This window comes from Homo sapiens, chromosome 19 (genome assembly GCF_000001405.40).
Source record: "Homo sapiens chromosome 19, GRCh38.p14 Primary Assembly".
Classification (NCBI taxonomy): Eukaryota; Metazoa; Chordata; class Mammalia; order Primates; family Hominidae; genus Homo; species Homo sapiens.
In genome coordinates this window covers 43,827,179-43,852,591 of record NC_000019.10, presented here as the reverse complement: position 1 = coordinate 43,852,591, position 25,413 = coordinate 43,827,179, and the positions used below count along the sequence as shown (strand labels likewise).

General features: G+C 38.8%; 1 protein-coding gene across 12 annotated transcripts, besides 1 other annotated feature; it reads right to left on the bottom strand.

The window, feature by feature from the left end:
- Window positions 1-574: 574 nt before the first annotated feature.
- ZNF283 (zinc finger protein 283) lies at window positions 575-25,271 on the bottom strand. 12 transcript variants are annotated; one of them, XM_047438638.1, is made up of 8 exons: window positions 25,148-25,271; window positions 24,611-24,816; window positions 24,311-24,390; window positions 22,375-22,492; window positions 21,211-21,274; window positions 17,000-17,087; window positions 15,413-15,539; window positions 575-5,653 (listed from the first exon to the last, which is right to left on the bottom strand). In XM_047438638.1, the coding sequence occupies exons 5-8, from the start codon at window positions 21,255-21,257 to the stop codon at window positions 3,951-3,953; spliced, it is 1,965 nt and encodes a 654-aa protein (XP_047294594.1). In that variant the 5' UTR covers window positions 21,258-21,274; window positions 22,375-22,492; window positions 24,311-24,390; window positions 24,611-24,816; window positions 25,148-25,271; the 3' UTR covers window positions 575-3,950. The 12 variants fall into 12 exon arrangements, with proteins under 12 accessions (XP_047294594.1, XP_016882122.1, XP_005258841.1 ...); XM_017026633.2 differs by having other exon boundaries at window positions 24,652-24,816; XM_005258784.4 differs by lacking the exon at window positions 22,375-22,492.
- Window positions 25,214-25,413: an enhancer, noted in NCBI's record as "active region_14744". NCBI's record gives its function as "activates an Ori minimal core promoter by ATAC-STARR-seq in GM12878 lymphoblastoid cells {active_cell/tissue: GM12878}" and the evidence as "EXISTENCE:reporter gene assay evidence [ECO:0000049][PMID:35858748]".

The following is a 25,413-nucleotide window of genomic DNA, read 5'->3' as shown; positions in this document are numbered from 1 at the left end:
CACTCCCAGTATATACAGAAAGAAATGTGTACACGTGTGCTCCAAAAGACATGTACAAGTATGATCATAACAGCCCTATAAGGAAGTTCTGACTTCCCAACACATTATTCTTAAGAGCACATAATGAAGGATTTTAGGGGCCATGCTGGGATGCGTCTTTTATGCGGATCTTGGCTAGTACTACATGGCTATGAAGGCTCCTTAAAGGAACTGTGCTAACACTCAATAAATCTGTTATGTCTGAAGTAGGAATTAAAAGACAAAAAAAAATGCAACAGATGGAACTAGAAAAGTGGTCAAGGATCAAACAAAATAACCTAATAGGATCATACAATATTAAAAAACAGGCTATTGCAATACCAAAACAAACAAAAATACAATAAAAAAGAAAACTATTATATAATCTCACTCATGAGATGCAAAAATACTAAATAAAATGGCAAAATGAAATCAAGCAATGCATCAGAAGGATACTATGACTAACCTGGAATATCCAGGAATGGGAAAAAGTCAGTGAATCTATCAGAATAAATTATCACATGAACAAATTAAATACTATAGAAGTGCAGAAAAAGATAGTGAAACGGCATTTAATAAAACTCAGGAGGCACCACTACTTAGCTACAACAAAGATTTTCACTCATAACTGAGACCATGATGCTGCCATTCCATCATAGCTAACAACCAGACATGGTGACTGAAATTCTCTTTTGGTTATAGCAGCAGTTCCCAATGCAATTTCACCCACCTACAAAGATAATAGGTCATGGGAATAAGTATTTCAACAGTGAAGTTTGCCATACACCAGTTTAAACAAAGTTCAACCATTTTCTTCACTAGAATACTCCTTAGTCTTTTTTTATTTTTATTTTTTTGAGACGGAGTCTCGCTCTGTCGCCCAGGCTGGAGTGCAGTGGCGCAATCTCGGCTCACTGCAAGCTCTGCCTCCCGGGTTCACGCCATTCTCCTGCCTCAGCCTCCCCGAGTAGCTGGGACCACAGGCGCCCGCCACCACGCCCGGCTAATTTTTTCTATTTTTAGTAGAGACGGGGTTTCACCGTGTTAGCCAGGATGGTCTTGATCTCCTGACCTCGTGATCCGCCCGCCTCGGCTTCCCAAAGTTCTGGGATTACAGGCATGAGCCACCGCGCCCGGCCGTCTTTTTTTTTTTTTCACTTCTCTTTAGTCTTTTGATAAGCTGGTGAGGTGCTTTTGCTTGTTCCTTAGGAGGGGATTTAGTAGATGCTACTTTATAAGCTTCTTTAACTGTAAAATCCTCCTTCATTGTCAAGTACTAGTAAGCACTGGTGATTCCTTGAGATATAATTTCAGAAATGTTGGGATAAGGCACCATGTCTACATTTCTTGGTTAACAGGCAAATGTGGCACCCAGAGGGAGTGGCATAATAGCCAGTTACCAATAATATATCCTGTTAAAACTCCCAAAGTACTCTGCTTTGTGTTACAGTTGATTATTAAGAGTGCAACTGTTGGCTTTTTATGCCTTTGAAAAAGTGCAATCATGTAGAATGATGATCACTAGATGGTGAATGACTGACTGAACAGTGATATTACGAATCCCCTATGTGCACAAAATAGAGAGGTCAGGTGTAGACCTATGACAAGGAACCACAGACATTTAGTTATCAATGCATTAGTTCTGATGGAACTGACATTATTTTCAAAAAGAAATAATTTTTAAAAGGGTCGATTTCTAACTGTGTGAGTATATAAACACACACTCTATTTCTTCATAACTAACCTGCCTTGATGCTAGCACTAAATCATGACAGGCACCTGGTTGAAAGTGGTTGCAAGAAGCCATCAATTTTAAGATGCATTGTGATTTCCAAATAGTAAAATATAGCCAGGCGCAGTGTCTCACACCTGTAATCCCAACACTTTGGGAGGCTGAGGCAGGTGCAGGAGTTCAAGATCAGCCTGGACCAACATGGCAAAACCCCATCTCTACTAAAAATACAAGAATTAGCCAGTATGGTGGTGCACACCTGTGTATCCAGCTACTTGGGAGGCTGAGGCACGAGAATCACTTGAACCCGAGAGGTGCAGGTTGCAGTGAGCCGAAATCACACCACTGCACTCCAGCCTTGGTGACAGAAAGAGAGATCCTGTCCCAAAAAAAAAAAAAAGTAAAATACATACCATATGATCACACATTTCCAAAGATCATTGATCAAGGCTGACCAATCCTATTAGGTATATAATGGATCTTTATAACAGACAACTCCAGTAGTTACCATAAGTGATCAAACTTGGCACTGGTGATACTGGGGGAAATGGATACTATCTGCTTCTGAGGTATTGCAAGATGAAGTACACATCACCATCTATGAAGTGTTCTGGTAAAAAATGTTTAAGCCTCTATTTCCAACTTCATGTTACGAGAAATGTGAAGGAGAGGCCCATATCAAATTTCACCATGAGGAATGAAACTAATGTGTGACATTCTATAAAACAGCTTTCCTAAACTCTTCAAAAGTCTGGATTTTTTCAAGTCTCATTTTTTTAGCTCAGCTTAAGGGATAAACTCTGAATTAAAATCCCCTCAAATTCTTTATACTGTACTAGATCTTATCCAGAATGAACTATCTGAAATTCAAATGGATGAGTGGTTATGGGAAGCTTTTCTGAATTCATTCCTCAAAACGGTTGTGCCTCTCCTAAGAATTCACCAGTAGTAATACTAATAATAAAGACAATATGAACAATAGCTAATATGTATTAAGCATAGGCTACATACCAGATACTCTTCCAAGGATATGATGCATACTAAATCCATCTAATCTCTGTAACAGCATTATTAGTTACCATCAGCATTTGAAACATCATGTCCAGAAGAGATAAGCATTTTGCTCACCATCCTACAGGTAGTATGGAGGTGAAATGGTGATGACAGTATGGTATTTGCCATGGATAAGGGTTTTCCTACATTTGTTACATTAACAGAGTTACTCTCTAGGATGAACTTACTGAAGTTTAACAAAGACTGAATAGTGTTGGAAGGCTTCTGCACATTTAACATATCTGGTATAAATTATCTTATGCTGTTACAGGCATTAGAAAATTTTGATTCCCTCATTTGCCAAATCTTGCTATAGTATGAATATTCTGCTATTCTAATCAGAGAGGTGCAAGTGAAGAATTTCTTATTTAAATTGTCACTTGTCTCATGTCTTGAAAAGTGTGAGTCTTGTCTCAAATTATTTCTGGGAAAGAACAAACTTTGTTTTCAATTCTCAATCATTTATGGACTGATAATTTTGTAAAACAGAATGTTATGGAAATGTCAAATTGCTATAAAAGTTCCAAATATTTACTCACTTTCCACGTTTATCTCACAATTGACAGATGACAATTTTATGACTGCACCAGTCTCTGGATAATAATTTGGGTAGCATTTGTCTAAAGGCCTTCCTATAATTCTAATTCAAATGATTTCTCATTTGGATGAATTCTCTGATGTACTCTAAGATATTTACTGTGTCTATAAGCCTTCCCAAATTCCTTATGTGCATAGGATTACACAGCAGTATGAATTCTCTGATGTGCAGCAAGAACTGAATTAAGTTTAGGTCCTTCCCACATTCCTCCTATTTAAACTCTTTTTAACAAATACCAATTATTTGATGTTAATCAGACCTTATGTCATGAATGAAGATCTTCACACATTCCTTACATTTAAATGATTTTACATCAGTATAAATTGATATCCAATAAGACTGTACAGAAGTCTAAAGGCCTTTTCATATTAATTATATTCAAAATATTTCTCACTAGTATGAATTGCTGGATAGCAAGATAATTGCCCATAAACAGAAATGAATGGCTTTTGCACAACCCTTACATTCACAAGGTTTCTCAAGAGTAAGAGTTCTTATTATGATAAGTTGTCTATACACACACACAAAATATTCTTTTACAACTTTCAATCATAAGGTTTCATCAGTATCAATTTTCTCATTTGAGTAAGTTGTCCACAGAAAGGCTTCCCCACATTCGTTATATTTGTAGGGTTTATCATTACTATGAGTTCTCTCATGAACAAGTTTTGAGCCACAAGTAAAGGTCTTCCCGAATTCCTTACGTTGATAAAGCTTCTCACCAGTATGAAATCTCTGATGAACACTAAGTTGATAGCCACTACCAAAGGCCTTCCCACAGTCTTTACATTCATAAGACTTCTCATTAGTATGGACTCTCTCATGCTTAACTAGGCTTGAACCCCAACTGAAGGCCTTCCCACATTCCTTACATTTGAAAGGTTTCTCACCGGTATGAATTTTCTGATGTTGAGTAAGGTGATAGCCACGACTAAAAGCCTTCCCACATTCTTTACATTCATAGGGTTTCTCCCCTGTATGGATTCTTTCATGTTGAACAAGGCTTGATCCACAATTAAAAGCCTTCCCACATTCCTTACATTCATAGGGTTTCTCACCAGTGTGAAATACCTGATGTCGAGTAAGTTGATACCCACTACAAAAGGTCTTTCCGCATTCTTTACATTCATGGGATTTCTCACCAGTATGAACTCTCTCATGTTTAACAAGGCTTGAACCCCAACTAAAGGCCTTCCCACATTCCTTACATTCAAAAGGTTTCTCACCAGTATGGATTTTCTGATGTTGAGAAAGGTGATAGCCACGACTAAAGGCCTTTCCACATTCTTTACATTCATAAGGTTTCTCACCAGTATGAATTCTTTCATGTTGAATAAGACTTGATCCGCAATTAAAAGCCTTCCCACATTCCTTGCATTCATAGGGTTTCTCACCAGTATGAAATATCTGATGTCGAGTAAGTTGATAGCCCCAACAAAAAGCCTTTCCACATATTTTACATTCATAAGGTTTCTTACCAGTATGGATTTTCTGATGCTGAGTAAGCTGATAGCCACGACTGAAGGCCTTCCCACATTCTTTACATTTATAAGGTTTCTCACCTGTATGAATTATCTCATGTTTAGCAAGGCTTGAGCCCCAAAAAAAGGCCTTCCCACATTCCTTACATTTATAAGATTTCACACCAGTATGAATTTTCTGATGTTGGGTAAGGTGATAGCCACGACTAAAGGCCTTCCCACATTCTTTACATTCATAGGGTTTCTCACCAGTGTGAATTCTCTCATGTTTAACAAGGCTTGATCCCCAGCTAAAGGTCTTCCCACATTCCTTACACTCATAGGGTTTCTCACCAGTATGAAATCTCTGATGCACATTGAGTTGATAGGCACTTAAATAATTCTTCCCACATTCTTTACATTCAAAGTGTTTTTCAGCTGTATGAGTTCTCTCATGTTGAACAAGTTTTGAGCCATGACTGCAAGCCTTCCCACATTCCTTACAAACATAGGATTTCTCTGTATTATGAATTCTTTGATGTGGAGTAAGAGATTTACTTTTTCTGTAAGAAGGTATTTTTTCATAGCTGATTATCATTTGACTGAAGTATCCCTCTTGATGTCCTTTTAGTCCCTCGAATATGCTTTTGCACTTCCAATTATTTCTGAAGATGGATGCCTCAAGGCCAAGGGTTTTACTTTTGTCCTTCATCTCCCACTGGGAAAAATTTATTTCAAAAATATCATTTTCTGAAAATATTTTTTTGGTCTCATACGTTTTTGACTCCAAATCTGAAAGAAAACAAGAAAACCACACATTTTATTTCCTTCACTAGGGAAAAAAAAAAAAAAACTACAGTAGAAATAAAAGACAAATTAGGAGACTTACTGAACTCACTCCTTGGCATTAAGGCACTCCCTTGTTAAATAACAAACTCAGCCTTGATTTTGCAGCTCTTGTGATCTGAATGTTCTGATTTTATAGTTTTCTGGAGGATTCCACAGAGGTCGCTTCAACAAGTCCCTCATTTTCCCACGCTGATGTTCCCTCAAACCAAATGTCAGCTTCCATCAATCAAGCCCTTATGTGCCCAGTTGTGGTCATCCAATGTATCTTAATGGGAATCAAATTCTTATCATAATGAGCTTTGGCTGATTTTGTTTTGTCTAACAACTCTTTTGTCTAACAACTCAATGGTCGCAACTCTGCCATTTTATCAAGGCAGCCATGGGCAATATGTAAACATATAAACAAATGGGCAAGACTATGTTCCAATACAACTTTATTTGCAAAAACAGGTGGATTTGGCCTCCAGAGCCAGAGTTTTCCAACCCCTGAGATAAAGCAAACATTGCTTTCATAAATGTTCACAATTGTAAAAATATAAAGTTCAATTAAATTTTACATTTACTTAGATTTATTAGCCAGAATTTTTATAAAAGGATTGATTTTTATAACTTCATATAATGCTGCAATTATGTGACTCTATAGATTTTACCTTATTTAAAAATTTTAAATGTCTATCAATTTTAAAAATCAACAGTAATTGTATTGCTATTTAAGGATCACTTTAAATTATAAGATCTCCAATTCACTTAGACAAAATGATCTTGAGAGTTACTAATAAATAATTTCTGGTTGCATAAAAAGTTCCTAAGAAGATATTCATAAAAGAGGAAGAACAAATATTTTGAGTTATTTTTCAATTAAGTTTACTTATTTCTTGACCATTGTTAAACATATTTTCACTCAACTAAGCTCAAACTACCCTGTCAAAAATCAATGTGATACACACATCATCTTATAACACATTAATACTGTTAATTATATTTTAAAATTGAAAATAAAGCTTTAAATTATAGTGTCATTCAGCATGGTATATTGACAATATTAGCAGGTTTAAATGCATATGGGAAATGCTATGTCATATAATGTATGAAAAAAGTGACATAAGTATGATATGATAGAAAAGACTGCTAGCTAAGGGAAAATGATGATCTTGGAGTAAACTGTCCACTCTATATGAGGAAATTAAAGTATTATTCTTTTTCTTCAATACATGAAGAAAATAAATCTGCATAATTTTGCCACACTTCTGTGTATGCTTCAAATTTTAAGAGTCAAATAATTTTCATGCTTTTAGCTACCTTATACTACACATCTAAACTATTTTTAAATAGAACAGAATTTTTTATTTAAATAAAAATTAAAATCTTGCTACCTTCTCATTATTTTAAATATTGTGTTGATGTTCTGATTAATTAGTCACAACTATTGTTCTTGTCAAAAGCTCCTCTGACAACTCTTTTTGTTAATGCCTTTTCCAATTCAGAATAATGAAACAGATTGTAACAGATTATGTCTTTCACATAAAATCTGCCTTTCAGGTTTCCTAAAAGGCCACTGAGCAAGCACAAAGATTTGCTCTTTCGCTTACAAAAGATACTAGAAACAATCAGGTTTCTTTGACATAATCCAGAATTTACTTAGCCCAAAACTACTATGACTGTGTTTTTGTTTATATAACCCCAGGTATATTAAAAACCAAAAGCTGACAATAAAAAGAGAAGTTTGGCCTTTCTAGGCTAATAAGTTACTTGTTATTAAAAGGTACCTGTCCCAGCAATAATGTACTTGTCAAGTTGGAGAAGATGTATATTCATATTCATGTACCCACAGGTTATGACTTTCTATAAATTAATTTTAAGAAAGATTGTGTACCTAGGTTTAAATACCCTTGTCAATTTGGAACAATCGTAATACTCTTTCATTGTCCATAATGTGTTTTGACTTCAAGGTAGTCACTTACTTTATCCTTATAAATTAATTAGGTTTTATACCTCAATAGAGGATTTAATTTTTTTCCATTATGAAGTTGTTGTTTATTATATTAAATTAACCAGAGCCATTGAGCCTTAACAACTACAAGAAGGTTTTTCCAAACTCAAATCTACTGACATTTGGGCCCAAATCATTCTTGGTTGTGCGGGGTTTTCATGTGCCTTGCCTGTTGATGACTGTATAACATTTTGGTTGAGCTATTAAATGATGGATGATTATTGTGATGTGAATGTGGGAAGTAAGTTTAATCATATATAGTTGGTCACAGGTCTAAACTGCACTATTGCTGTTTCATTTAACAATGTCTTGCTGCTTTTTATGCATTAACATTTGGGTGTAAAGATTCTGTGGATAACCAAAACAAAGCCACAGTATTTAAGCTGACCAACCTAATATTCCAACTGAATATGGAGGTGACCAATTATGAACTAAAAGGAGTACAGTTTTGTACAACATAGCATCAGTAGTTTAGCGAATTTTAATTTCTATGTAAGGCTTAGATTTTAATTTAACATTATAGATTTAGATTTAACATTTTAGTTACTTACTACTTATGTTTTATGTAAGGTTTTACAGTGTCAGTAAATAAATATGGGTTTAACTTCTTAAATGTCAAGAAAAATCATTGAGGACCCAAAAGACTTTTAGTTTATGTAGTTATATATTTTGATATTTGTCATGTTAAAAATTTAAACAGAGAAATTTTAAGATATTTACTAATTCACTTAAAATAACAATAAACCATTAACTGTTAACATAAATGATTTGTTATAAAAATAATCTTTTCTAAAACAAAACAAAAGATGTTTTAAATTTTTTCAAATCTTTTAAATGGATGGTTTAATAAAAGACACCTGGATTCTCATATCTGCTTCTGCATTCAATCTATGGCAATATGTTATTTAGGTTGAAATATATGAAGAAAATCATATATATGAAGTATATGAAGAAAATCTAGCCTCTCATGGTACATAGTTGGAAAATGGCAGAATATTTTACTAGTCCATGCAGATAACTGTGGATATTTTTCTTTGACACCACCCTAAAACTTAAGAAATGGTAGTGTCTGGCAGGTTAAGTACAATGTGGAATATAAAATCATATCTGTGAACTTTTCATACTATGTTACATTGCACTTTGAATAATCTTTTATCCATGTGTAATTTTGTAACATCATACACTGGTCATTTGGAAAATACTGATTCAAAGAGTTATGCAGATCTTTGAAATGTTGACGTAGTTCACTATACAACATCAAAAAATCACATGTTAATATTACCACCCATCTCATAAAAAATCTTAATGTATTAGGAAGCTATAAAGCTCAAAATTATGAATAAACATTTTACAAAATTCTAATTTTAACATGACAGATTGAATTATATCATTGGCAACAAATATTAGTTATTTTTGAAGTGACAGGCTCACTTGCAAGAAAATGTTTTCCTACTGCCCAAGTCTGAACAAACAAAGTTTTTCATTCTTTGGTGAAAAATATGGTGTTTTGTCAAAAAAGCAGTTGGTTTAACTCACAATTTTTTTGGGGGTGGGGACGTAGTCTCACTTTGTCACCAGGCTGGAATGCAGTGGCACGATCTTGGCTCACTGCAACCTCCGCCTCTCGGGTTCAAGCGATTCTCCTGCCTCAGCCTCCCGAGTAGCTGGGACTACAGGCGCGTGCCACCATGCTCAGCTAATTTTTGTATTTTTAGTAGAGATGGGGTTTCACCATGTTGGCCAGGATGGTCTCGATCTCTTAACCTTGTGATCTGTCCGCCTTGGCCTCCCAAAATGCTGGGATTACGGGCATCAGCCACAGAGCCTGGCCTTTAACTCACAACTTAAACAACTGTACAAGTGGTTTTCTTCAAGGCAACCATCATACTTTGGTATACAGCAGAAGACCTTAATGGATACTTCCCATTTCATTACATAGAATATTTTTTAAATGTATATATAATCAAGGGTTGAGATTTAATAAAATGAATACTGCTTCTTCAAGATGTTCTTAAGTGAAAATGGGTTTTTTCTTAACACATTTTCTTTGTGTGTGGAGGTAAAGAATATGATGATTACTAGTACTATTTGGTGCCTCTGCCTTTGCTCATGCTAAAGCAGAGAAGATTCACCATGGCTTCTACACCACCAGTGGAAGTGTCACCACAGTGAAAAAGGCAAACCTCTCAGTATTGTTATGAGAATATTTTTCACTTTGTGAAAGGTTTGGCCCACTGAAAGGTTCTTGGGAACTCCCAGGGGTCTTCAGTCCACAGTTTGAGAACCACTGCCCTACCTAGAGTAAGAATTATGTCCAGGACTAAGGATAAAACCAAACTGTACCTGCCTTCAAAAATCAACTCTTAAAAAGATCATTGTGATCTGCTATTAATTTAACTGCTTGCCTGAACAGTTTAACTATTAGGAAGATAATAAAATCCCCAAGTCACTACAACATGGCATCTACAATGGCCAGTATACAATGAGAAATTGTAAGACCGGTAAAGAAGCAGGAAAATTTGACACAAGATTTAGAGAAAATACAGTCAATAAAAGCAGACCCACAAAACCAAATGTAAATTCTATAACTATAAAATGTAGGTGGAATGAAATCTTTATTGGATAGGCTTAACAATAATTGGACACTATCAAAGAAAAAAAAAACAGTGACTTCAAGACAGGTAAATAGGTATTACCAAACTGAAGTACAAAGAGTAAAAAGACTGGGGGTTGCACCTCCGTGACTGGTGGCACCATATAAGTGGTCTAACACACATATAATTGGAGTCTTAGGAGGAGGAAAAGTACTAAAGAAGCAGAAAAAAGTATTTGAAGATACAATGGTTGAAATTTCTCCAAATTCAATAAAAAAATCAACCCACTGATCAAAGGTAAGGGAAAGTGAAGCATGATAAATGTAAAGGAACCATATCTAGAACTTTATAGTCAGATTATTACAGACCAAAAATAAAGAAAAAACTTAATAACAGAGAATAAAGTATATATAAAATGAACAATAAGAATCATAGCTGTCTAATCATTATATACAATAGAGTTCAGAAGATAATGGAACATTTTTGAAGCTAACTAAAAGAAAAAATATATCAGTTGGGAAATTCATATCTGGTAAAAATATCCTTCAAAAATAAGAAAGATGAAGGCTGGGTGCAGTGGCTCATGCCTGTAATCCCAGCACTTTGGGAGGCCAAGGCAGGTGGATCACCTGAGGTCAGGAAATCAAAACCAGCCTGGCCAACACAGTGAAACCTTGTGTCTACTAAAAATACAAAAACTAGTCAGGCATAGTGGCACACGACTGTAATCCCAGCTATTTTGGAGGCTGAGGCACGAGAATTGCTTGAACCTGGGAGGCAGAGGCTGCGGTGAGCTGAAATCATGGCACTGCACTCCAGCCTGGGTGACACAGTGAGACTGTCTCAAAAAAAAAAAAAAAAAAGATAAAATTAGCTGCTAGTAGCCATATAACACAAGAAATGCTAAAGGAAGCTTTTCAGGCTGAATGAAGTTTACAGATTAGTAAAATTCTTACATTATACAACAAAGTAGTATGTTATTAATTTCAAGTAGACCATGCTAAATTAAGGATGCATATTGTAATCCCAAAAGTAAATACAAATAATACAGCAAAAGATAACAGATGAGATAAAATGGAATACTAAAAAATACTTGATGAATCCAAGAAGGTGGAAACAAAAGAAAGAACTAGTGAAACAAAAAATAGCAAGATAGTAAACTGAAATCTAACCATATCAATAGTGACATTAAATGAATATGTAGGAGTGATGTCACACAAAATGATGAAATAGGAAGCTCTAAGGGCTGGTACCTCCATCAAAGCAACAATTGAGCTGGAAAGACAGATTGTCATTGGCCAGGTGCGGTGGGCCACACCTGTAATCCTAGCATTTTGGGAGGCCGAGGTGGGTGGATCACGAGGTCAGGAGATTGAGACCATCCTGGCTAACACGGTGAAACCTCATCTCTACTAAAAAATAAAAAAAAAAAAGGAGAAAAAAAATTAGCCGGGCGTGGTGGCAGGCGCCTGTAGTCCCAGCTACTCAGGAGGCTGAGGCAGGAGAATGGTGTGAACCTGGGAGGCAGAGCTTGCAGTGAGCCGAGATCACACCACTGCACTCCAGCCTGGGTGACAGAGCAAGACTCCATCTCAAAAAAAAAAAAGAGAGAGAGAGATTGGCATCCACAAACTCTTAATTCTGGAATCTTATCAGGCACTTCCATAACAACAAGGGGAGTGCTGGATGAATAAAGAGGCTACTATTCTTAGGTGAAAGAGTGGCTCGTGCAAGCCACCATCCCCCATTTCTCAGTCCAGCCAATGCTATGGGATGACAGGCCTATGTGCCTGGAATGCTGTGTACCAACTAATCACTTCCTTCACTCCTCAGCTCCACCACAGCTGTGGGGAGAGCAGCCTGTATTCCTGGAACAGCCGGTTGGGACCTGGGTGGGCAGCGTGACCTTGTCTTCCAAAAAATTCAGGGTTGTGCAGTTTGGTGGGTTTTGTGTTACCTTGAGGGACCAGCACAGATAACTGCCTTGATTTTAGCCCCATCAGCCACAGCAGCTTTCCCCAGAAGTATCTATTGGAAGATTTAAAGGGCTAATGGACCTTTTTTTCCTCCCCTTTTTACAGCCAGATATTTAAGTAAATCTTTGTCTGGTACTAACTGACTGTAGAGATGATGGAACAGAAATTTCAGTGACCACATACAATAAGGAATATACAATTTGCAAAAAGAGTTTGAAAAAATCTGACAGCTCCAGCCCTCAACAAGCAGAAATCAGCTATGCCTGAGGAATGGGAAAATTGAATCTCCAGAGGTACCACATTATAATACTCAAAATGCCCAGTTTTAACAAAAAAAATTACAAAGCATACAGTGAAACAGGAAAATATGGGGCCCGTTCAAAGGAAAAAAAAGAATCTGACAGAAACCATTCCTGAGGAAGCCCAGACATTAAATGAACTATCCAAATATGCTCAATGAGCTACAGAAACCATGGACCAAGAGCTAAAGGAAATCAGGAAAAGAATGTATGAACAAAATGAAAATATCAATAAAAGGATAGAAATTATAAAAAAAAGGAACCAAACAAATTCTGGAGTAAAGTAACTGAAATGAAAATTTCAATAGTGGATTCAGCAGAAGAAAGACTCAGCAAACTTGAAAATGAGTCATTTGAAATTATTGCACTAGAGAAGCAAAAAGAAAAAGGAATAATGAACAGTGAAGAGAGCCTGAGGGATCAATGGGATACCATCAAGCACACCAACATACACATCATATGAGTCCCAGAAAAAGAAGAGAGACAAAAGTAGAGAAAAAAATTTGAAGAAAAAATGTCTGAAAACTTCCAAAATCTGACAAAAGGCAGGAATACACACATCCAAGAGGCTCAACAACTTCAGACATGATAAAGAGATTCATATCTAGACACATTATTGTCAAATTATGGAAACCCAAAGACAAAAAGACTTCAGAACACAGGAAGAAAGCAGCAGCCTACCACATACAAGAATCTGCAACAAGATTAACAGCTAATTTCTCATCAGAAACCACAGAGAACAGAAAGTAACAGGATGGTATATTGAAAAGTCCAAAAGAAAAAAAAAACTGTCAACCAAGAATTCTATACCAGCAAAAACTGTCCTTTAAGAATAAAGGTGAAATTAAGGCATTTCCAGAAAAAACAAAAGCTGAAGGAGGTGATTACCAGTAGACCTACTCTAGAAGAAATGTTAGACAAGAGTGTTTCAGACTAAAGTGAAAGGACACTAAACAGTAATTAGAAGCCATAAGGAGAAATAAAGAACATTGGTAAAGGTAACTACATGAGTAAATATAAAAGTTAGTATTATTGTACTTTTGATTTATTGATTTAAAAGACAAATGCATAAAATAATAACTATAAATCTGTGTGAAAGTAACCAGGCACTTCAAAGCAATAGCTGATTGTAAAACTAGACAAGGGAAATTTCATACAAGATGAACCTCTAACACCTTGTTTATCAGAAAACCAGGAGGTACTCAAAGAGTGACGGAGATGTGCCAAAAAGCCATATCATGAAAGGATTCCCACTGACTAAATCTGGACAAGCTCCAACACTTTGAGCTTCAAAATAAATAACAGAAAAAAAACAGAATATAGCCCATTGACTAGAAAGCGAACATATGAATAAATGGAAAGTTTAAAGAGGAACACAATATTTATTTATTTATTGAGGTAGGGTCTTGTGTGTCACCCAGGCTGGAGTGTGGTGACACAATCTCAGCTCACTGCAGCCTCAACCTCTTAGGTTCAAGCAATCCAGCCACCTCAGCCTCCCCAGTTGCTGGGACTAAAGGAGCGCACCACCACAGCCCAGCAAATATTTTTGTATTTTTTGTAGAGATGGGGTTTTGCCATGCTGCCCATGCTGGTCTCGAACTCCTGGCCTCAAGTGATCCAACCGTCTCAGCTTCCCAAAGTGCTGGGATTACAGGTGTGAGCCACCACTGTGCCCAGTTCCACAATATTTAATAGTTTCAAAGTTCCTCCCCACAAAATAGTTGTGGAAGGGAAAAAGGGCAACTGCACAAGGAGGAAGCCAGCAGACGCTACCTTAATCAAGTACTCAGAGTGAATAACATGAGTAATGATAAATTAATCATACCACCCAACAAAATGCAGGGAGAAGAACGCAGCATCAATTCTGTGATAATCCTGCCAAAGATCCATATTCTAAATCTAATCATGAAGAAATAGCAGACAAACCCACATTCAGGAACACTATACAAAATAGCTGGCCTGTAATCTTCAAAAGCATCACAGACATATACGCAAGTCAAGGAAAGACATGTGAACTGTTTCAGACTGAAAGAGACTAAACAATCCAAATTCCACAAACAAGAACAACAAAACAATGTATTATCTGGCCCCTTCCTATCTCCCTGGCCTAATTTCTTAGTACATGTTCCTTTAATAACTCTACTCTAGAGTTCTGGTAAAGTTCCTTTCCAACAACAGGGTCTTTGCATTTGCTGTTCACTGTGACTGATCTGTTCCTCCGCCAGATATTCACATAGAGATCCCAGGCTCCACATCTCTGTTCAAGAAAGCGTTCCCCGACTGTCTTACCTAAATTAGCCCTGTCAGTCCTCATCATTTTCTATTCCCTTATGCTGTTTACCTTTTCCAAAGAATTTGCTTCATTACATACTATTTATCTATTTATAAATTTACTTATTTGATGTTTCTGCTTTACTACAAAGTAAACTGCACGAAAATGGGCAAGTTATCAAAGCTTGTTCATGATTCAATTGACAGTGCTCAGCACAAGGCTGGCCAGGAGTAGATATTCAATATAATATTTGCAGAATTTATGAAATCTGGTTTCTTTGCCATAGTTATGAAATAAATGTTCTATAATGCAAATCCAGCCCCTTGGCCATTAAAGGAGAGAGGTGATTGCAGGGAGGGCCCGAGAATGGTGTAAAGCTCACTGAGGGATGGGGAAGATCAACGTGTTTAACAAACCCATTTCTAACCCAGCAAGTATAAAAGCATGCCCTTGGGAAGGGGGAGAAGAAATTCACCTGGTTTCTTCAAAGATAGCCCTGTAATTTCCAGTGCAGAAAACTGATGATGCAAAGAGGAGACTCTAAATTATTTCAGGCAGATGACCTTACCCAGTGACACCAAGTTACTATAGTTCTCCAACATTACATCCACGTACAAGTCCCTCTGAGCAGGGTCCAGGCATTCCCACTCCTCCTGAGAGAAGTCGATGGCCACATCCCTGAATGTCACCAACCCCTAAAACCAAAAACCCATGTATTACTTGTGAAATTAAAGAAAACATTTCCAAGAGGAAAAAAGAGGGTACAAAGGATGAACTACAAAGAGGGGGAGAAATATAACAATCGAGTAGGCTGAAAGCCTCTGATATAGGTAGGAAAAAGCAAGAAAATCTGTGACTAAAGCAGGATGTCAACATGTTCTACGAGAATCTTGTTATAGCAGAAAAAACTTCCCGGATACTGTGAGATAACTCAGCTATCCAGATCTGTCTGGTAATATATTTTAAAAATCTCAGTTTCTTCTCTGTTATATAAAAAGTGCCTGCGTATACATCATGCAGATTTACAATGTGCTATGTGCCTTCCTCATAAATTCTTTGTAAAAGTGAATTGCTCACCATCTTTCCCCTTTAAGAAATAAAAACAAGGCCAGGTGCAATGGTTCATGCCCGTAATCCCAAGCACTTTGGGAGGCTGAGGCAGGCAAATCACTTGAGGTCAGGAGTTCGAGACCAGCCTGGCCAACATGTGAAACCCCATCTCTACTAACAATACAAAAATTAGCCAGGTGTGGTGGCAGATGCCTGTAATCCCAGCTACTTGGGAGGCTAAGGCAGGAGAATCGCTTGAACCTGGGAGGGAGAAGTTGCAGTGAGCCGAGATTGTGCCACTGCACTCCAGCCTGGGTGACAGAGCAAGATTCTGTCTCAAAAAGAAAGAAAGAAATAGGAAAACATGAAAACTTTTTTCCAAATGTACTACAAAATCTTTATTTTATAAAAATGATTCCCATTAAATTAGGGACTATCAAGACTCAAATACATCACTGTTAGATTACATCATAAGCATTTTTTCTTATGATGAATAAACAGTATTTTTATTTGTTGCAATTCATTTTATCCTCCAATATATGAGCTTAGTCACTCAATTATATCTGTACATTTAGGCTGAACAAAATTTCTGTAGATTTTCTTGATCGTGGAAATATATTATCATCTAGACCTTAGGCATCATCTTATCTGTTACTATCAACTACCCCTCGCTTAGTACTTCACTTGTCCCTGAGTTAGAGAGTACTGATACAAGACACATGAGGATACTGATATAGGATATTGCACATGACACAAATGTCACTCATGGCCTACACATCCTGGTTGACGACAAAATGACTTCAAAGTCAACTGGTTCAAAATCCACTGGTGGTGGAGTCCTTTGGTGACTCCAAAGACCACTGGTCTTCATCTCTTAGGAAATTCCTGGGAAGAACCACTTAACTCCCCTCTCTCTAATCTGAAGCGCCTCCCAACACATGCAGCTTCACATAAACTGAGGTTGAGACCAAGCAACCCCAAAGTCCTTATCTCTGTGGAAAACTTGGGTCTATGGAGAAGTTCTATAGGTCTAAGGAAAATTAATGAAAAGATTCACACGCCCTAAAAATCACAGTATTTCATGGAGAGAAAAATACCAACTTACATCAGTCATGGTTCTGGAATTGCAAGAACTAATTAATGCTCCATGGGATTCCTCTATTGGTGAAGCACAGAATCCAGAAAAGCCAGAACTGGGGAGGGAAAACGAAGCGTTAAACCAGGTGTGCCTCAGTGATCCCATCCTGACTTACACTAATAGAAGATCTTATCTTCTCCATGCCTGCTTCTGCTACACACCCCACGCACCATTTATGGAATTCAAACTTTCACCTAAACCCCAAAGGTCTTCAGCAGGGAGGTTTCTGGCAGTGTCTGGTTCTGAGGATGTGAATCTGGACCTGGGATTCGACAATTCAGTCCTGCCCAGGAAATCAGATCATCCTCCTTCCATTCCTACCTCTCAGGAATACCTGTCATGGTCCAAGCTAGAACGTCCTTCATGGGCTCAGGACTGAAGGAAGTTGGTCAAAACATGGGAGCTGGACAGGCTGTATAAGGAATTCATCAGGAACCCAAAAAGCTGACTTTCTAATGCATATATCAGAATATTCATGACGCAGAACATCATGCAATGAGTACATGCTAACTTAGGGAAATAATCAAGATATACTCAATAGAAAAAGGAGGTTATGAGACTTATGATTACATTTATAAAATACATATATATCAATACAGAAAGACTGACAATCACATCAATAGATGAAAAAATGTTTAGAAAGTTATACATCTCAAGAAAGAAACAGGCCAGGTGAGGTGGCTCAGGCCTATGATCCCAGCACTTTGGGAGGCTGAGGTGGGTGGATTATGAGGTCAGGAGATCGAGACCATCCTGGCTAACACGGTGAAACCCCGTCTCTACAAAAATACAAAAAATTAGCCAGGCGTGGTGGCAGGCGCCTGTAGTCCCAGCTACTCAGGAGGCTGAGGCAGGAGAATGGCGTGAACCCGGGAGGCAGAGCTGGCAGTGAGCCGAGATCGCGCTGCTGCACTCCAGCCTGGGTGACAGAGCAAGACTCCATCTCGAAAAAAATAAATAAATAAAATAAAAAATAAAAAATAAAATTATATATCTATATATATTAATAACATTTATCTTTTCATTATGATCATAATGTTTTCTGTTTAGGTAATCCACACAATCATTGTAACCATGGCCATACATTACATGAACTGTATAATTTCTACATATGCCTATGTCTTGCCTAGAAAAAAAAAGGATGAAATTCCCCAAGTTATGCCATGTATATATTAATGGAATAATACTAATGGAATAATATTAATGAAATGATATTAATATATTCATGGCCTAAGTTGAGGAATTTCATCCTTTTTTTTCATTTTTTGAGGGGAGGTTTTATTTATTTTTTTGTTCCCCTTCCATTAATGAGGTTTTGATTCTACTTTTCTTATCTTGACTGATGGATTTATTTTGTATCTGAACCTGTCTTAGACATGGTACTCTCCAGATAACTGAATCCAGATAACTGAATCACCTGATCCTATTAGGCTCACTTTGCAACCAACATTAGTAGAATAAAAACTATAAAGTATAAACCTTACAGAATAAATTCCATTTGCCTCCAAATGCTTGATCATGGTTCAACGGTATTGCTTATAACTGCCTTCCTATGAGTTCCTAAAGCAGGTCCCCTGGATTGCCTACTGGCCTTTGTTGCTGACTGCTGGCTGCCTTATGCTTACCCCAAGGCATATTTGGTCTCCAAGGTAACAACTATGTCTTCCAAACACTGTATTACCCGCTAAGTACAAGTATCACAGGGTCAGGCATTTGGGGCAAATTCTTTACCCAAAACTTCACTTCTAGAAATGTATCCTTAAGAAATAGGTAAAGAAGGGCCAGGCACGGCGGCTCATGCCTGTAATCCCAGCACTTTGAGAAGCCGAGGTGGGTGGATCACGAGGTCAGGAGATCGAGACCATCCTAACATGGTGAAACCCCGTCTCTACTAAAACTACAAAAAAAATTAGCTGGGTGTGGTGGCGGGCACCTGTAGTCCCAGCTACTCAGGAGGCTGAGGCAGGAGAATAGCGTGAACCCAGGAGGCGGAGCTTGCAGTGAGCCAAGATCGCACCACTGCACTCCAGCCTGGGCGACAGAGCGAGACTCCATCTGAAAAAAAAAAAAAAAAAGAAATAGGTAAAGAAGAAAGAAACACACAAGATGAATACACAAGGGTACTCAACCAAAAATAATTTCTGGTAACCAAAAATGAGAAACTACGTAATAGTAAGCAAAAGGTTTAATAAATTATGGCCCACCATATCCTCATTAGTTATGATGGTGTTGGTTCATATTAATTGATGAAGAAAGACATGCATGATCAATTCCTTAGGCAGGCCGGTTTGTAACTAACATAATGTGGGAGGCATATTCTATTGAAATTAAGATAAAAGTTCTGGTGTGAGAGCTTTAGGATGTGAATTTGAGCTTGATAGTTATCCATTTCTCAATACCTCTGTTTCCTCATCAGTAAGACGGGTGAGAACAGTGTCTACCATAGAAGAGTAAGTAAGAAATCCATACAAAATACTGAATGGTATATGATAATTGTTTATAAGTTGTCTTTTTTTTTTTTTTTTTTTTTCAGAGACAGGGTCTTGCTCTGTTGCCTAGGCTGGAGTGTAGTGACACAAACACAGCTCACTGCAGCCTCAACCTCCTGGGCTCAAGTGATCCTCCTACCTCAGCCTCCATCCCCAGTAGCTAGAACCACAGGTGCACGCCACCTTGCCCGACTAATGATTCTTCTTTAAAATTGTTTGTAAAGAAAGGGTCTCACTGTGTTGTCCAGGCTGGTCTCGAACTCCTGAGCTCAAGGAATCCTCCTGCCTTGACCTCCCAAAGTGCTGGGATTACAGGTGCAAGCCACCAGGCTTGGCCACATTTTCATCATTATTATTGAAAATGAAGAATGTTACTGTCCCTTATCCTGTTATGCCAAAGAAACTTAAGGCTACTCTATTTTGCTCACAGTAAAATGTGTCTTTCTCAGACCTGCTTTCTTATAACGTGAACTCAAATTTCACAGGTCAACCTTGAGTCTGCTATTCTTCCTAAATAACAATGTGAGCAAAACAGGTTCTCAGAAACATATAGAGGAAAATACCCCTTCCTCCCAGAAGTTACATAGAGATTCAGCATCATTAAGCTGCATCAGAAAATACAACCTGATTAGGTATAAAGCTGAGAACTTAACCAAAGGCTCAGTCTTCTGTACAAATTGGTGGTTTACTTAAACATTTACAACAAGAACCTTCTTATTCTACCTCCTGGTATTTACACCTGTCCTTGGAAATATTATCTGTAAAATGTATTTTTTGTAAGATGGCTGTATATTGGAGATTATTGCCATTGTCTGTAGAGGTAACCTTTAAAATAATCTAATTCTAAAACTCTTTTTTGCCTGGTAATTCATTTTTAAATGACATTTCTATAATCCCAGAAGTTGTAAATATTTGAAGGTTTTCAAATAAGGGAATCACTAGTACTTCCCTCTTCTCCCTAAATATTCAAGATTAACATAAAACCTAGAACTGGGTTGGATTTTTTTTTCAAACTAAGAACTAAAGAGTCTTCAATTCATTTACATCACCAATTACTATAATTTTATTCTGCAGAAAAAAAGAAAAAAAAAACAGACCCATAGGCTCAAAGGAAAAAGGATTTAAATAAAAATATTCCAAAGTGCTGGGTGTGGTGGCTCACGCCTGTAATTCCAGCACTTTGGAAGGCCAAAGGAGGCGGATTGCTTGAGCTCAGGAGTTCAAGACCAGCCTGGGCAACATGGTGAAACCCCATCTCTATCAAAAACATGAAAAATTAGCTGGGCATGGTGGCACACACCTGTGGTCCCAGCTACCTTCCCTCTGAGGTGGGAGGATCGCTTGAGCCTGGGAGGTGGAGGTTGCAGTGAGCTGACATTGCACCACTGCACTCCAACCTGGGTGACAGAATGAGAAACTATCTCAAAAAAGAAAAAGAAAAAAAACACCAAAACATTAAAAATGATTAACTCTAGAGGATGCAATTTTTAGCTTCCTTCTCTATATGTCTCCTGGACCGCTGAGTTTTTTTTTTGGACCAAGCCTGCATTAATTCCATAATTGGAACTATAAAGACATTTCCAAATGTAAAAAACTGAGTGACAGGAGGAATATATTCCAGTCATTAAGAAAACTGAACAAACGGGGCCAACACTGAAAATCAGTGGGCCTGAAACAATTTACACCTACCAGCTCTCGAACATCCTGTAGCTGTTATTCAATGTAATGAGACACATTCACTGTCAAGATTCTCCTGTAAATCAACACAAATGAGATAAACCACCTTCAAAGTCTGAGGAAGAAAATAAATGTGCATAAACAAAACAGTATTTGGTATAGAGTAGATACTCTGTAAGTACGGCTGCACCTTTCCACTTCTTCAGTGAATGACCAATTAAAGTAACATTTTAATGTAATTCTTGAAATATGTCTTCCAAAACCGTGTCTTATCAGATGGGATTGACACATAACACAATATTCTTGAGCACTTTTGTTCATAACTATAATGATTGCTTAAAATTATATCATTTATATTTTTCCTTCCTTTGACTCTTTATAAACTTAATTTTTATTAGGTGCATATCATTCCATCACTAGACATACTGCAATTTACTTGACTATTTCCATTCTATTGGACACTAATTTTTTTTTTTTTTTTTTTTTTTTTTTAGATGGAGTCTTGCTCTGTCACTCAGGCTGGAGTGCAGTGGTGCAATCTTGGCTCACTGCAACCTCTGTCTCCCAGGTTCAACCAATTCTCCTGCCTCAGCCTATTGAATAGCTGGGTCTACAGGTGCACGCCACCACGCCCGGCTAATTTTTGTAATTTTAGTACAGATGGGATTTCACCATATTGGTCAGGTTGGTCTCGAACTCCTGACCTCAAGTGATCCACCCGCCTCGGCCTCCCAAAGCGTTGGGATTACAGGCATAAGCCACTGAGCCCAGCTGGACACTAATATTTTTCAAGCTCTTTCCCGGCAATTACAGTCTTTTTTCCAGAACAATGGAGCTAGATCTTTTTGGGTCATGGTCACTTTTGATAATCTCATGAAATTATAGACACTTTGCCCACTTAAAAAAACACATTTACACATATTTACAAAAATTTAGTCTCAATTTCAAGGGATTTTGGTCACCTGGAAGCTCGTCAATGGAACAAGAAGACCTCAGGTTAAGACTTCCTGTCGTAAGGCTGGGCACAGTGGCTCACGCCTGTAATCCTAGCACTTGAGGAGCCCGAGGCAGGCAGATCACTTGAGTCCAGGAGTTAGAGACCAGGCTGGGCAACATAGCAAAACCCCCTCTCTATAAAAAATACAACAAAAACTGGTCAGGCTTTGTGGCACGTACCTGTAGTCCCAGGTACTCGGGAGCCTGAGGTGGGAGGATCGCTTGAGCCTAGGAGGCCAAGGCTACAGTGAGCCATGATCATGCCACTGCACTCCAGCCTAGGCAAAAGGCCAAGAACCTGTTTAAACAAACAAACAAAAAAAGTGTTCCTGTCCTAGATCATTTGAGCATGTGGTCACTTTTTCGTGTCTGTGTGTGAGACAGTCTTGCTCTGTTACCCAGGCTGGAGTGCAGTGGCGCGATCTCGGCACACTACAACCTCCGCCTGCTGGGTTCAAGCAATTCTCCTGCCTCAGCCTCCCGAGTAGCTGGGACTACAGCCACCCGCCACCATGCCCGGCTAATTTTTTGTATTTTTAGTAGAGACGGGGTTTCACCATGCTGGCCAGGCTGGTCTCGAACTTCTGACCTTGTGATCCACCCGCCTCGGACTCCCAAAGTGCTGGGATTACAGGTGTGAGCCACCGTGCCCAGCCCCCACTTTTTTAGTTAATTTGCAAGCACCCGTCACAATCAACTTCATACTTCTGTTACTCTAATCTATAAAAAGTTTATGGGAAATAATCTAGAAGAGCCCAATAATAGCAACTCAATATTCAGTAAGCCCATATCATGGGGATGACACTGCTCTACGAAGCTTTACATATAATATCTCATCTTACATCATATCAACTCCATTAGGTAGGTACTATCCTGTCCCTATTTTATAGATGTGGCACAGAGGGCCTGAATCAATTGTCTAAGCACACACAGCTACCAACAGGCAGAGCCAGGATTTGAATTCAGATACTTTGGATCCAGAGCCTTAATTTTTTTGTTGTTGCTGTTTTTTCGAGATGGAGTCTCTCTCTGTCACCCAGGCTGGAGTGCAGTGGTGCAATCTTGGCTCACTGCAACCTCCACCGCCCGGGTTCACGCCATTCTCCTGCCTCAGCCTCCCGAGTAGCTGGGACTACAGGCGCCTACCACTACGCCCAGCTAATTTTTTGTATTTTTAGTGGAGACGGGGTTTCACCGTGTTAGCCAGGATGTTCTCGATCTCCTGACTTCATGATCCACCTCCCTCAGCCTCCCAAAGTGCTGGGATTACAGGCGTGAGCCACTGTGCCCGACCCCAGGGCCTTATTTTTAACTACAACATAGTACGGCTTCTTACATGCCACAGAAAGCTGGACTTCAAACAAGTCATGCTTGGAAATGTTACAGATTTCTATCTAAAGATTATCTGAAAGTCCCCACTCTTGTTGGTGCAAATTACAAATCCCTATGTTCAAAGCTCAATCATATTTCCACCCCTAAAAGCCTCACAAAGCAGACAACATTGTCATTTACTGCCAGAAACATTCCCTTACTTAAAATCCCTTATACCTTGCCTTTCTTTAAGCATCATGACTATGGGCCAGGCATGGTGGCTCACACCTGCAGTCCCAGCACTTTGGGACGCCAAGGCCAGAGGAACACCTGAGCCCAGGACTTCAAGGTTGCACTGAGCTATGACTATACTACTGCACTCAGCCTGGGCAACAGAGTGAGACCTTGTCTCTAAAAAAAGTTAAAAAAAAATTTTAATTATGACTACAGAAAAGATAAAAAATAATGTTTATATAACACCACCTAATTACTAATCTCTTCAAATAATCATAGTATAAAATAATGCTCTAATAGCAATCTACAAGAGGTGCCTTTCTATAACTCTTCAGTGCATCATAATGCACTGAAGTATTTGAACAATTTGCCATATGAACAGGTGGGTAAGAATTGTGGAGAAGAACAATAGGGGGCCACTGGGAGGAAATATGTACCAGCATGGCGGGTCATGTAACTGGGAAAACCCAGTCAAGATATTTCAGGCCAAGGAAAGAAAATGTTCTCATGACCTAGAAGCAAAGGTAATTGTATGTGTATGTATTTAAAAAGTATGTATAAAAAACCTCACCTGAACCTTGATTTCTAAACATGCAAAAATCCTTTTCTCCTCTTCAAACTCCTTCTTAGAAATCTGGCAACCTGGCAGCACTGGGGGAAAAAACAGTAACATGAGACATCAGCATTTCTAGCGCGTCACAGACTTAATTAAAAAAGAAAAAGAAGAGCAAAACACCCTCTGGGGCCACTTCTGCCTTCATCCACACAAAACCAAACGGAATGAAAAGGGAGGCTAGAGTCTGTCTCTGTGTTGAGGGCAATTCTTGGGGACAGAGGTCTGCTTGCAATGGCTCTGAAACATGTAGCTCACCACCAAAGAGCTCCTAGAGGCCCCTCTTCTAGGAATCCCACCTCTAGAACTTCCCCATCAGGTCTTGACAAGATCCTGTCCCGCGGACACTTCCAGATCTAAAATTCTCATCCTTCTTGCTTGAAACGTTCATTATGGGGCTTAGCATAGACTTCTTTCTTGCGGTCATTTAATTGTGGCAGGCCCGAAGACAGGCTAAAGGGAACCTAGAGCATTTGGTCAAAGCAAATCACATTTACAAATACGGCCACGCACCCTGTCAGCCCGTCACACATTCACAACTGCACCCACCTCCGTGGGGACACGCCCCGTCCCTGCCACGCCGTCTGAGACACACTGTCCCTCGGCTGCTCGCGTGCACACAGGCTTGAGGATCCGGACACGACACGCTCTGTCCGTGACCCAGCCCTCCCCACCTCCAGCACCCCCGATGCCACCCCCACCCTCACTGCCGGTTCCAGTCGGGCCCCAGTAAAGCCAGCCGAGCCCTCCCAGCTTCACCCGGGCTGATTACTTCTACAGACACGACCAACTCACCATGCAGAGTCCAAGAACCTTAAGGACACCGGAAAAGGACCCAGAGACCTGTGGTTAGTTTGGACCCAGAGGCTGATGGGAAACAAGAGCCTGGAAATGCTCGCAGGCTGGGAGAGGAGCTTCTGGCAGGCAAGCTCGCCCCGCCCCTAAAAGGCCTGTGCCCCGGAGACTTCTGGGAAATGTAGTCCACAGCGGCAGAGTCTCCGGAAGTTGAAACCTGGACAGCAGGGATGCTCCCAGCATGCAACTTGGCTTCACCTGTCAAA

Coding starts and splice junctions, on each gene's coding strand:
- ZNF283 (NM_181845.2), bottom strand. CDS start 19,087: ATGGAGTCTCGCTCTGTCGCCCAGGCTGGAGTGCAGTGGTGCGATCTT. Junction 17,088..18,965: donor CTGAGTAGCTGGGACTACAG/GTGCCCGCCACC, acceptor TTCCCTCCCCAG/TTCTGGCTTTTCTGGATTCT. Junction 5,654..15,412: donor TAGTAACTTGGTGTCACTGG/GTAAGGTCATCT, acceptor GTTTTCTTTCAG/ATTTGGAGTCAAAAACGTAT.